Below are 13466 nucleotides of genomic sequence, written 5' to 3' on the forward strand. Positions count from 1 at the left end.
AAGCAGATCCGAGTTCTCTGGGATCTCCAGCTCAAGCCCCAGGTCAGAGCTGGTGTCCAGGAAAAGAGTGTGAGTGAGGCGTAGATGGCACTGCTCCCCAGGACAGGGGCTCCAAGGTGCCTTCACTCAGGGATGCAATCTCTATGACAGTCCCTTGCGTTAACAACCTCAGGGAGAGCCAGTGGTCTGCCTTAAATCCTCCAGCACAGGAGCCGAAAAGCCAAGGCCCAATCCCAGGCCTACTGACCCCGGGGGGCAGCCGTGAGAGGCTTGCTCTGCACTGCCCCGGTAGATGAAGCCACAGCAACAGGGGCTGGCGGGGGCTGCCCAGTGGGAAAAAGTCACCAGCAAAGTGTAATAATCCTATTAATTAACTTTTTTTTTTTTTTCTTGAGACGGAGTCTCGCTTTGTCGCCCAGGCTGGAGTGCAGTGGCGTGATCTCGGCTCACTGCAAGCTCCGCTTCCCGGGTTCATGCCATTCTCCTGCCTCAGCCTCCTGAGTAGCTGGGACTACAGGTGCCCGCCACCACGCCTGGCATTTTTTTTTTTTTTTTTAGTAGAGACGGGGTTTCACCGTGTTAGGCAGGCTGGTCTCGAACTCCTGACCTTGTGATCTGCCTGCCTCGGCCTCCCAAAGTGCTGGGATTACAGGTGTGATCATTAATCTTTTGCTAACAAGACTTTCCAACTTTCCACTGTGCAAGGAGGCAGCAAGGGGCTTTTGAGGCTGATGTGGGTGCAGGCCACAGGCATGAGCGCTCTGCTCTGGGTATGACAGAATGAGGTACCACCCCGTAACAGTCCCCCCAGAGATCCACTGGAACACCTGGCGTACGTAATCCTTCACAGGCCCATTGTGTATGGTGCAGGGAGGGACAGTAGACAGAGAGGAGGCTCACGTGGAAGGCAGAGAGTGAAGTCACAGGAGGCAGATCTCCCTGCACCCTCTACCCTGGCACTAGACACGGTCTTCTTGGCACACACAGCAGGGAAGGTGGGGCCCACATAGAAAAGAAATAGAGTCCCGCTGACCTCAGCACCAGGAAAGAGAAGTCTAGAAACTGGCAACACAGAAGAGAATAGAAAGCGAGCCAGTGGCCAGGCACAGTGGCTCACAACTGTAATCCCAGCCCTTTGGGAGGTCAAGGCGGGCGGATCACCTGAGGTCAGGAGTTCAAGACCATCCTGGCTAACATGGTGAGAAACCTGTCTCTGCTAAAAATACAAAAATTAGCCGGGCATGGTGGCGGGTGCCTATAGTCCCAGCTACTCGGGAGGCTTAGGCAGGAGAATCACTTGGACCCGGAGGTGGAGGCTGCAGTGAGCAGACATTGCACCACTGCACTACAGCCTGGGCCACAGAGTGAGAATCTGTCTCAAAAAAAAAAAAAAAAAAAAAAATTTGGCCAGGCACAGTGGCTCACACCTGTAATCTCAACACTTTGGGAGGCCAATTTGGGCAGATCACAAGGTCAGGAGTTCAAGACCAGCCTGGCCAACATGGTGAAACACCATCTCTGATAAAAATACAAAAATTAGCCAGGCATGGTGGTGGGCACTGTAGTCCCAGCTACTCAAGAGGCTGAGGCAGGAAATTGCCTGAACCAGGAGGCAGAGGTTGCAGTGAGCTGAGATCGCGCCACTGCACTCCAGTCTGGGTGACAGAGTGAGACTCCGTCTAGAAAAAAAAAAAAAAAAATTAGAAAGGGAGCCAGAGAGAGGTCCCCATGCTCTCTCTCTCCCCAGTGTCTCTAAATGGCCCTGAAACTACCTATACACAGAATAGACTCCAAGCAGCCCAGGGCTCAGCAAAAAGTGATCTGAACAGAGGCCAGAGATACCACCTAAGAAACTGGACTTCAAGTCCCACCAAGGAAATATCTGCTAAAACAAAGGAGATCATATTCACTGGAAAAAAAAAAAAAAAAAAAAAAAGGCATTCTGACTCTCCACAACCTCAGCCCCACAATGTCCAAGATACAGTCCGCAATTACTAGACAAGGCCATTCACAGTGGCTCACACCTATAATCCCAGCACTTTGGGAGGCCAAGGCGGGCAGATCACTTGAGGTGAGGAGTTTGAGACCAGCCTGGCCAACATGGCAAAACCCCATCTCTACAAAAAATACAAAAATTATCTGGGCGTGGTGGCATGCATCTGTAATTCCAGCTACTTGGGATGCTGAGGCACAAGAATTACTTGAGCCCAGGAGGCGGAGGTTGCCATGAGCAGAGATCACACCACTGCACTCCAGCCTGGGCAACAGAGCGAGACTCTGTTTTAAAAAAAAAAAAAAAAAATTACTAGACAAATGAAGAACCAAGAAAATGCATCACATTCCAGAGAGAAAAAAGAAAACCAACTAAACGTGACCCTGAGATGAACCACATGTTGGAAAGAACAGCCAACGATTCTGAAATCCTCAAAGAGGTGAAATAAAACTTGTTTTCAATGCATGAAAATTTCACCAGAGAAATAGGAAGGACAAAAAGAAACAACAGAAAAGAACCAAATGAACCAATTGTAAGTATAGAACTGGCTAGGCACAGTGGCTCACACCTATAATCCCGGAATTTGGGAGGCTGAGGCAGGAGGATCCCTGAGGTCAAGAGTTCAAGACCAGCCTGGGCAACATAGCAAGACTCTGTCTCTACAAAAAATACAATAATTAGCCAGTCATGGTGGCATGCACCTGTGGTCCCAGCTACTCAGGAGGCAGAGGTGGGAGGATCACCTGAGCCCAGGAGGTTGAGGCTTCAGTGAGCCATGATTGTGCTACTGCATTCCAGCCTGGGTGACAGAGCAAGACCCTGTCTCAAACAACACAAAGAAATTATAAAACTGAGAAGTACAATTTCAGAAATAAAAAATCCATGGAGGGGATCTAAGAGCTGAATGGATATGATTAAGAGAAAAGTAAGCGAGTGAGTTTATGAGTTTGGGTGTGGGGGAACCAGCCTCAGAGACCTGTCAGATAACAAATGGTAAAATGTATGTTAAACAGGAAAAGAAAGAACAAGAAAAAATGCTTGAATATTTGCTTTTCCTCAATAGCTGAAATCTTCCCAAATTTGATGACAAACAGAAACTTGCAGATGTTGGGTGTCAGATAAACACCAAGCAAAATAAACATCAACAAATCCGCCACGAGGCATGCCACAGTCAAACGGCTGACAAAGATAAACACGAACCCCCAGGAACAACAAGAAAAATGTAACCTATCACTTCCAAAACAATCGTCTGATTAATGGCGAACTTCTCATCAGAAACCAGAGGCCAGAAGAGAGCAGGATATCTTCTAAGGACTCAAAGAAAAAAAAAAAACTGTCAACCCAAAATTCTATATCCAGTAAAAACAACACTGAAGAATGAAGGTGAAATAGAAACATTTTCAGGTAAGAGAACACTAAGAGGCCGGGCATGATGGCTCACACCTGTAATCCCAACTACTCGGGAGGCTGAGGCAGCAGAATCACTTGAACCCAGAAGGCGGAGGTTGCAGTAAGTCAAGATCGCGCCATTGCACTCCAGCCTGGGTGACAGAGTGAGACTGTTTCAAAAAAAAAAAAGGAACACCAAGAAAATTCCTCACCAGCAGCTCTACAAGGCAAAACTGCTAAATGAAGTTCTTTGGGCTGAAACTGCAGGAAAACTGGAATCCTCAGACAAGAATGAAAAGCAACAGAAATAATAAATATCTGAATAAATACAAAAGACTTTGTTCACTTTTCCTCTCAATTTCCTTATAAGCCATTTAAATGATTAAAACTAAGTTTGTGGTCGGGTCCGGGGGCTCATGCCTGTAATCCCAGCACTTTAGGAGGCTGAGGCGGGTGGATCATGAGCTCAGGAGTTCAAGACCAGCCTGGCCAAGATGGTGAAACCCCATCTCTACTAAAAATACAAAAATTAGCCAGGCGAGGTGGGAGGTGCCTGTAATCCTAGCTACTTGGGAGACTGAGGCAGGAGAATCGCTTGAACCCTGGAGACGGAGATTGCAGTGAGCCAAGATCACGCCACTGCACTCCAGCCTGGGCGACAGAGTGAGACTCCATCTCAAAAAACAAAACAAAACAAAACTAAGTTTGTAACATTGTCTTTAGGGGTTGATACCATGTGAAAAAGTATTACATATAATATAAAATATGAGGTATGATATGGACTTACAAAGTTGCAAGATTTCTGTATTTTATGTGAAAAAAACATGGTAAGTGGATGTAAAAAGGAATGTATATTGTTATCTCTATTTTCTATTTTTAAAAATGACAAAATGATACTGAGAAAGCTAACAGGAAAATTAAAATGGAATTCTTAAACATATTCAAATAAATTTGTTTAAAAGGCAAGGAGAACCAAAAATTAGACAAAAAACTAAAGACTAAGACACTAATAAACTGAAAGGCAAAGCACGAAAAAGGTATACCACGCCAATTGTAACCAAGAGAGCTGGCGTGGCTATACTAATAACAAACAAAATAGACTTTTTAAGACAAAAATTGTTACTAGCAACAAAGAAGAACATTCTAAAATGATAAAAGGGGCCAGGCGTCGTGGCTCAGGCCTGTAATCCCAGCACTTTGGGAGGCCAAAGTGGGCAGATCATCTGAGGTCAGGACCAGCCTGGGCAACAGGTAGAGGTTGCAGTGAGCTTAGATTGTGTCACTGCACTCCAGCCTGGGCAACGCTGCACATTAAAAAAAAAAAAAAAAAAAAGAGCTCGGCACAGTAGCTCACGCCTGTAATCCCAGCATTTTGGGAGGCCAAGGCAGGCAGATCACGTGAGGTCGGGAGTTTGAGACCAGCTTGACCAACATGGAGAAACCCCGTCTCTACTGAAAATACAAAATTAGCCAGGCATGGAGGCGCATGCCTGCAATCCCAGCTACTTGGGAGGCTGAGGCAGGAGAATCACTTGAACCCGGGAGGTGGAGGTTGTGGTGAGCCGAGATCATGCCGTTGCACTCCAGCCTGGGCAATGAGAGCGAAACTCCATCTCAAAAGGAAAAAAAAAAAAAAAAAAAAAGGCATTCTGGCTCTCCACAACCTCAGCCCCACAACGTCCAAGACACACAATCCAAAATTACTAGACAAGGCCAGGCACAATGGCTCACACCTGTAGTCCCAGCACTTTGGGAGGCCAATGAGCGCAGATCACTTGAGATCAGGAGTTCGAGACCAGCCTGGGCAACAGAGCGAGACCTCTTCTCTACAAAAAATTGCAATTGTTTTGGGGCTCCGTGAACAGTGCCCATATAAGATGGGAAACTTCACCAACAAATGTGTTTTTTTTGTTTCTTTTTTTTTCTTTTTTTTTTTGTGTTTTTTTGTTTTTTGAGATGGAGTCTCACTCTATTGCCCAGGCTGAAGTACGGTGGTGCAGTCTCAGCTCACTGCAATCTCCGCCTCCCAGGCTCAAGCGATTCTTATGCCACAACCTCCCAAGTAGCTGGGATTACAGGTGCCCACAACCACACCTGGCTAGTTTTTATCTTTTTAGTACAGATGGGCTTTCACCATGTTGGCCAGGCTGGTCTCAAACTCCTGACCTCTGATGTTCTATCTGCCTCGGCCTCCCAAAGTGCTGGGATTACAGGCGCGAGCTATCGTGCCCAGCCAATGTGTGTGTGTGTGTGTGTGTGTGTGTGTGTGTGTGTTTTTCGACAGAGTGTCGCTCTTGTCACCCAGGATGGAGGGCAGTGCAATGGCCCGATCTCTGCTCACTGCAAACTCTGCCTCCCAGGTTCAAGCGATTCTCCTGTCTCAGCCTCCAGAGTAGTTGGGATTACAGGCGCCCGCCACCACATCTGGATAATTTTTGTATTTTTAGTAGAGATGGGGTTTCATCGTGTTGGTCAGGCTGGTCTCGAACTCCTGACCTCAAGTGATCCGCCCACCTCGGCCTCCCAAAGTGCTGGGATGACAGGCATGAGCCACCACACCCGGCTGTATGTTCTTTATATAGCGAGGAAGAAAAAAAAAAAAAGTGTGTGTTGACTGCTCCGCCAACCGGCCTTCCTCATCTCTCTCCCTCTCCTTGGGCCTCCCTATTCCCTAAAGCACAACAATACCGAAATTAGGTCAATTAATAATCCTACAATGGCCTCTAAATGTTCAAGTGAATTGAAGAGTCACATGTCTCTCACTTTAAATCGAAAGCTAGAAATGATTAAACTTAGTGAGGAAGGCTTAAGCCAGTCAAAAGCCAAGATAGCCTAGAAGCAAGGCCTCTTGTGCCAAACTGCCAGGCTGTGAATGCAAAGAAAAAGTTCTTGAAGGAAATCTAAAGTGCTCTGGTGAACACACAAATAAGAAAGTGAAACAGGTTCATTGCTGACATAGAGAAAGTTTGAGTGATCTGGAGAGAAGATCAAACCACCCTCAATATTCCTTGAAGCCAAGCCAAATCCTCATCCACAGCAAGGCCCCAACTCTCTTCAATTCTGTGAAGGTTGAGAGAAGTGAGGAAGCTGCAAAAGAAAAGTTTGAAGCCAGCAGAGATTGTCTCATGAGGTGTAAGGAAAGAAGCTATCAGTTGGGCACGGTGGCTCACGCCTGTCATCCCAGCACTTTGGGAGGCCGAGGCGAGAGGATCATTTGAAGTCAGGAGTTCGAGACCAGCCTGGCCAACATGGTGAAACCCCATCTCTACTAAAAAAAAAAACACAAAAATTAGCCAGGCGTAGTGGCGGGTGCCTGTAATCCCAGCTACTTGGGAGGCTGAGGCAGGAGAATCACTTGAACCCGGGAGGCAGAGGTTGCAGTGAGCTGAGATTGCACCACTACATTCCAGCCTGGGCAACAGAGTGAGACTCCATCTCAGAGAAAAAAAAAAAAAGAAAAGGAAAGAAGCCGTCTCCATAACATAAAAATGCAAGGATAAGCAGCCGGTGTTGATGGAGAAGCTGCAGCGAGTTCTCCAGAAGATCCAGCTAGGGTCACTGATTAAAGTGGCTACACCAACCAATGGATTTGCAATGTGGACAAAACAGCCTTCTAAGAAGATGCCATCTAAGGCTATCATAGCTAGAGAGGAGAAGTCAGTGCCTGGTTTAAAAGCTTCAAAGGACAGCCCGACTTTTGCTGGGGGCTAATGCAGCTGGGGACTTTTAAGTTGAAGCCAATGCTCAATTACCATTCTGAAAACCCCAGGGTCCTTAAGAATGATGCTAAATCTCCTCTGCCAGGGGTCTACCAGTGGAACAACAGGCCGGGTGCAGTGGCTCACACCTGTAATCCCAGCACTTTGGGAGGCTGAGGCAGGCGGATCACGATGTCAGGAGATGGAGACCATCCTGGCTACCACAGTGAAACCCTGTCTCTACTAAAAAAAAAAAGCACAAAAAAATTAGCCAGGCATGGTGGCGGGCACCTGTAGTCTCACCTACTCGGGAGGCTGAGGCAGGAGAATGGCATGAACCCAGGAGGCAGAGCTTGCAGTGAGCAGAGATCACGCCACTGCACTCCAGCCTGGGCGACAAAGCAAGACTCCATCTCAAAAAAAAAAAAAAAAAAAAGATGCTGAATCACCTCTGCCACTACTCTATCAATGGAACAGCAGACCAGGTGTGGTGGCTCACACCTGTAATCCCAGCACTTTGGGAGGCCAAGGCAGGAGGATCATTTGAGGTCAGGAGTTCAAGACCAGCTGGGCCAACATGGGGAAACCCCGTTTCTACCAAAAATACAAAAATCAGCCACATGTGGTGGTGCACGCCTGTAATCCCAGCTACTCGGGAGGCTGAGGCAGAAAAATCGCTTGAACCTGGGAGGCGGAGGTTGCAGTGAGCCAAGATCGCACCACCACACTCCAGCCTGGCAAAAGAGCGAGACTCCGTCTCAAAAAAAAAAAAAAAAAAAAAGGGAATAACAAAGCCTTGGTAACAGCATCTCAGTTCACAGCATGATTTACTGAATATTTTAAGCCTGCTGTTGAGACCTATTGTTCACAAAAAAAAATTCCTTTCAAAATACTACTGCTCATTGACGATGTACCTTGTCACCCAAGAGCTCTGAGGGAGACGTACAAGGAGATGAATGTTGGTTCCATGCCTGCTAGCACGGCGCCCATTCTGCAGCCCATAGATGAAGGAGTAATTTTGAATTTCAAGTCTCGTTATTTAAGGAATATAATTTGTAAGGCTACAGCTGCCACGGATGATGATTCCTCTGATGGATCTGGGCAAAGTAAATGGAAAACCTTCTGGAAAGAATTCACTATTCTAGGCCGGGTGCAGTGGCTCACGCCTGTAACCCCAGCACTTTGGGAGGCCGAGGCAAGTGGATCATTTGAGGCCAGGAGTTCCAGACCAGTCTGGCCGACATGGCGAAACCCTGTCTCTACTAAAAATACAAAAATCTGCCAGGTGTGGTGGCGGGCACTTGTAATTCCAGCTACTCGGGAGGCTAAGGCACAAGAACCGCTTGAACTGGGGAGGCGGAGGTTGCAGTGAGCCGAGATCGCACCGCTGCATTCCAGCCTGGGCGACACAGCGAGACTCAGTCTCAAAAAAAAAAAAAAAGAAAAAAAGAAGTTGATTCCAACCCTCGCGGACAACTATGAAAGGCTCAAGACTTCACTGGAGGAAGTTACTGCAGACGTGGTGGAAACAGCAATAGAACTCAAGTTAGAGTGGAGCCTGGAGATGGGACTGAATTGTTGCAATGTCATGAGACATTTGAAAAGATGAGGAGCTGCTTTTTATGGAGGAGCAAAGAAAGTGGTTTCTTGAGATGGCATCTACTCCTGGTGAAGATGCTGTGAACACTGTTGAAATGACAAAGGATTTAGAATATTGCACAAGCTTAGCCGATAAAGCAGCAGCAGGGTTTGAGAGGACTGCTTCCAATGTTGAAAGAAGTTCTATAGGTAAAACGCTATCACAGTATTGCATGTTACAGAGAAATCTTTCTTGAAAGAGTCAATCGATGTGGCAAACTTCACTGTTGTCTTATTCTAAGAAATTGCCACAGCCACCCCAACTGTCAGCAACCACCACCCTAATCAGTCAGCAGCCATCAACATCGAGGCAAGACCCACCATCAGCAAAAAGTTTACAACTCACTAAAGGTTCAGATGATCGTTAGCGTTTTTGGCAATACACTATTTTTAAGATATGTACAATGTTTTCTTAGACATAATGCTATTACGTCCAGGCGCGGTGGCTCACACCTGGAATCCCAGCACTTTGGGAGGCCGAGGCGGACAGATCACCTGAGGTCAGGAGTTCGAGACCAGCCTGGCCAAGATGGGGAAACCCTGTCTCTATTAAAAATACAAAAATTAGCCAGGCGTGGTGGTGTGTGCTTGTAATCCCAGCTACTCGGGAGGCTGAGGCAGGAGAATCACTTGAATCCAGGAGGTGGAGATTGCAGTGAGCAGAGATCACGCCACTACACTTCAGCCTGGGTGACAAAGCGAGACCGTATCTCAAAAAAGAAAAAGACATAATACTATTGCACACTTAAGAGACTACAGGATAGTGTAAACATATGCTTTTGGTTTGGTCTTTTATTTTTGAGACAGGGTCTCATTCTCTTGCCTGGGCTTCAGTGCAGTGGCGCATTCTCGGCTCACTGCAGCCTCGACCTCCCGAGCTCCAGTGATCCTATTACATCAGCCTCCCAAGTAGCTGGGACCAGAGGCGCATGCTACCGTGCCTGGCTAATTTTTCTGTTTATTTTTTGTAGAGATGGGGTCTCGCTCTGTTGCCCAGGCCGGTCTTGAACTACTGAGCTCAACCAATCCTCCTGCCTTGGCCTCCCAAAGTGCCGGGATTGTAGGTGTGAGCCACCGTGCATGGCCAATAATCTATTTTTTAATTAAGGTATGTACACTGTTTTCTCAGACATAATGCTACTGCACACTTAATAGGCAACAGTATAGTTTAAACGTAATTTTATATGCACTGGGAAACCAAAACATTCACGTGACTTGCTTTACTGTGATATTCGCTTTATGGTTTGGAAGCAATCCTGCAGTATCTCCAAGACATGCTTGTGTACCCAAAGGAATGAGAAGGAAGAAAATAACAAAGAGTAGAAACCAATGAAACTAATCACGTCTAGCCAGACTGGCCAAGAAACAGAGTAAGAAGAAACAATCTGTATCAGCAATGAAAAAGGAGACATCACTACAGACCCTTCAGACAGTCAACGCAGAATAAAGGAATAATTTGGACCATATGCCAATACCTTGGGCAGTCTGGGTGAAATGGATGTTTGGGGTGTATGAATAGCAAGTGTAAATGTCTGAGAGTACTAGCCTGGCTGGTGCATTTAGGGGCTGTGGACAGGATAATGTTGTCCAAGCAATCAGAGTCTGATGGTGGTGGGTCAGACAGGTAGCACTGATCAGAGGGCAGCGGGAAGCCATTTGGAGGTTCTGGGCAGAAGAGTGGCCTGGCCAAGTGTGCACTCTGAAGACACCCTCCAGCTGCTTCTGTATGAACAATACCTAAGAATAGGTAGCCTTGTAGGGGGCCCTGGTGCCTCTTTCCAGGACTGCCAGGCCTGGAGCCCAGCAAACAATGGCAGGGCATGAGAGCGAGGAGGGGGAAGGCAGGGTCTGGAGCCTGGCGTGGGTGCCACAAATGGGGTTCCAAGACACTGGAGGTCAGGGGTGGGGCTTTGCTCCACGAACCTGCAGAGGGCATGAAGCCAGGGGCAGCTGGGGGGCCTTCAGGGGCAGCAATACCTGTTTTCCTGTCCTAGCCCCTGCCAGGAGAGCCTCATACCTACCCCTACTGTGGCTCAGAAAAGGATGCCGGGGGGGTCAGAAGGACCCTCCCCTGCTGGGGCCAGGGGAACTCAGAGCCTGAACACATGCATGACCATCTCCATCTCCGGCACTGACCCCAGCTGCAGGTGAGCTGCGTCCGTGTGAGGGCACTCAGCCCGGTGAGAACAGGGAGGGCCCACGAGAGGGTCCCAAGAAGGCAGGGCCCTGATGCAGGGAAACAGTCAGAGATGGAGAGACAGGAAAGACATGGACCGGGGTAAGCGCCAGCTGCCTGCCCAAGTGTGAGTGCCTGCTGCCTTGGTTTACCTATCTGGATTGTGGGCAAGTCAAAGAGAGCTTGGTGCCTGCCCACCCCACCTGACTCCTCCAGGCTCAAGCCCAGGCCACATGAGGCCTGTCCCACCCGTTCTCCCATGGCACAGACCGCACCCCCACCATCCCACAAAGTCTGAATGAGATGCGCTCTCTCTTCTTTCTACCGTGACGTGGCTGTTCCTTCCCCTGCACCTGTGTCTCGGGTAACCCCACGTCTCTCTCACGGGCCAGACTGGGTGTCACCAACCTGGAGTGGCCCCCACAAACCCCAGGCTGGGTCAGGGACCTCCATGGAGCTCCCGCAGCCCCTCAAGTGCCCAAAACAGGGCTGTGTTTGCTGGCAGTGTGAGACTGAAGGAGGTCGCCCTTTGCAAGGCGAAGAATCCCCTCCTTGGAGATGGCAGGCCAGGGCCCCTGTCGCGAGCATCCCTGATCAGCACGGGGCTGGCCCACGAGGCTGGGGTTCTGCCCATTCCCAGCTCTGCACCTGCATCTCTGAGCCTCAGTTTCCTCACCTGTGGGATGGGGCAATGGCGTCCGCCCCTCCCACCCACCCCCACCGCAGCCCACCTGCTGCCACTTACCCAGCAGGCTCTGCCGCTCCTCTTTCTTCCGGGCCTTCTGCTTGGCCTCCAGCTGTACCACAGACAGGGATGGACCCACCGTGGGGCTGGGGAGGGCGCTGGCGGCGAAGCGTGCCAGCAGGCCCAGCCCACTCTCCTCCAGGCCCGGTGACAGGGCCCGCTCCCGGGCACCCAGCCTGTAGCCACCACCGCTGGCCTCGTCCTCCTCCTCGAGCTCCTCCTCCTCGTCCTCCTCCTCCGAGCTCTCATCTGGCGTGCAGAAAACAGGGACCGAGTCAGAGCCTTGGCCTTGGCGAGGGCCACCCCCCACCGCCCCCTGGCCCAGAGTGGCCTCTGGGCTCCAGCCTAGTCCCTCAGTCCTGAGCAGGGGGCCGCTGGGGGTGGATGCAGACCCAGCCCACGGGTTCCCCCCATCCGATGGCCCAATGCCCCCGGCCAGCTGAGCCCAACGCGGGCATCCCAGAAAGCCCGGAGGTGGGCAGCGGCCTTGTGTGTCAGGGTGGGCTTCTGTGAGGGGCACCAACATGCACCTGTGCTGTGGCAGGGGCCAGACACACGGACAAGGACTGGAGACAGCGTTCTCCACAGTCACACGCGCACACGCCCCAACACACAACACAGAGGCAGGAGGAGAAGGAAAGAGGAAGCGGAGGGAGGTGAGCACGGAAGAGGGCCCTGGGGACTCAGGCTAGGGGTTCTGGGCACAGGTGCCTGTGGCAGCTTCGCCAGCTGAGTCCTGAGGGCTGGCGGCAGGAGAAAGTGGAGTTCGGACTCTTCCTGGGGGCCAGGGGACCCCCATGGTTTCAGCCCCGAGAAGGGATCTGGAGTCTAGAGTCGACTCCTGGCATCGCTTGAACCCGGGAGGCGGAGGTTGCAGTGAGCTGAGATCGCATCACTGCACTCCAGCCTGGGTGACAAGAGTGAGACTCAGTCTCAAAAAAATAAAATAAAATAAAGTTGACCCCAGCCGGGCACAGTGGCTCACGCCTGTAATCCCAACACTTTGGGAGGCCGAGGCAGGAGGATCACTTGAGCCCAGGAGTTCCAGACCAGCCTGGGCAACGCAGAGTCCCCGTGACTAATTTTTTAGAAAAATTAATTAGAAAAAATTAAGTTGACTCCTAGCAACTCCCCCATTCTGGGGAGGCTGGGCAAGTCCTCGGCCCTCTCTGAGCCTCTATTTTCTCACCTGCAGCAAGGGGTGACCCTCCCAGCCCACTGGCTCAGCCAAGGCCGGGGTCCAGAGAGAATCATTTGCATGGAGGAGAAAGCCATTTGCAAGCTTAAAGACAATCGAACAGAAACAGGGCCACCCCCGTGACTTGCAGGCAGGAACTGTGCTGTCCCCATGCCCAGGGAGCTAAAGTCAGCTGTGACTCTTCACTCATGGGATGCCCAGGAAGGGCAGGGGTAGACTGAGGCCCAATGGGGTTAAGCACTCGGGCAGTAGAAGAGCAGGCTCGAACCCAGAGCTGGCAGACTGTCTAAAGAAGCCCCAGGGCCGGGCAAGGTGGCTCACTCCTGTAATCCCAGCCCTCTGAGAGGCTGAGGCGGGAAGATCTCTTGAGGCTAGGAGTTCAAGACCAGCCTGGGCGACAGAGCAAACCTTGTCTCTACAAAAAAAAAAATTTTTTTTTTTTTTTTGAGATAGAGTCTCGCTCTGTCACCCAGGCTGGAGTGCAGTGGCACGATTTCGGCGCACTGCAAGCTCCACCTCCTGGGTTCACGCCATTCTCCTGCCTCAGCCTCTCGAGTAGTGGGACTACAGGCGCCCACCACCACACCAGGCTAATTTTTTTTTTTTTTTTGTATTTTTAGTAGAGACGG

General features: G+C 50.0%; 1 protein-coding gene across 16 annotated transcripts in view; it reads right to left on the bottom strand.

Annotated features, from left to right (window-relative positions):
* The window catches only part of TNRC18 (trinucleotide repeat containing 18), a 117024-nt gene that overhangs the window by 27112 nt on the left and 76446 nt on the right, over positions 1-13466 (bottom strand). For all 16 annotated transcript variants that reach the window (XM_017012737.3, XM_047420983.1, NM_001080495.3 and 13 more), the window contains one exon: positions 11640-11888. In XM_017012737.3, the coding sequence (XP_016868226.1) occupies positions 11640-11888 (249 nt within the window). The remainder of the gene's footprint in view (positions 1-11639; positions 11889-13466) is intronic.

The sequence above is a fragment of the Homo sapiens genome, chromosome 7, assembly GCF_000001405.40.
Source record: "Homo sapiens chromosome 7, GRCh38.p14 Primary Assembly".
In the NCBI taxonomy this organism is placed as follows: Eukaryota; Metazoa; Chordata; class Mammalia; order Primates; family Hominidae; genus Homo; species Homo sapiens.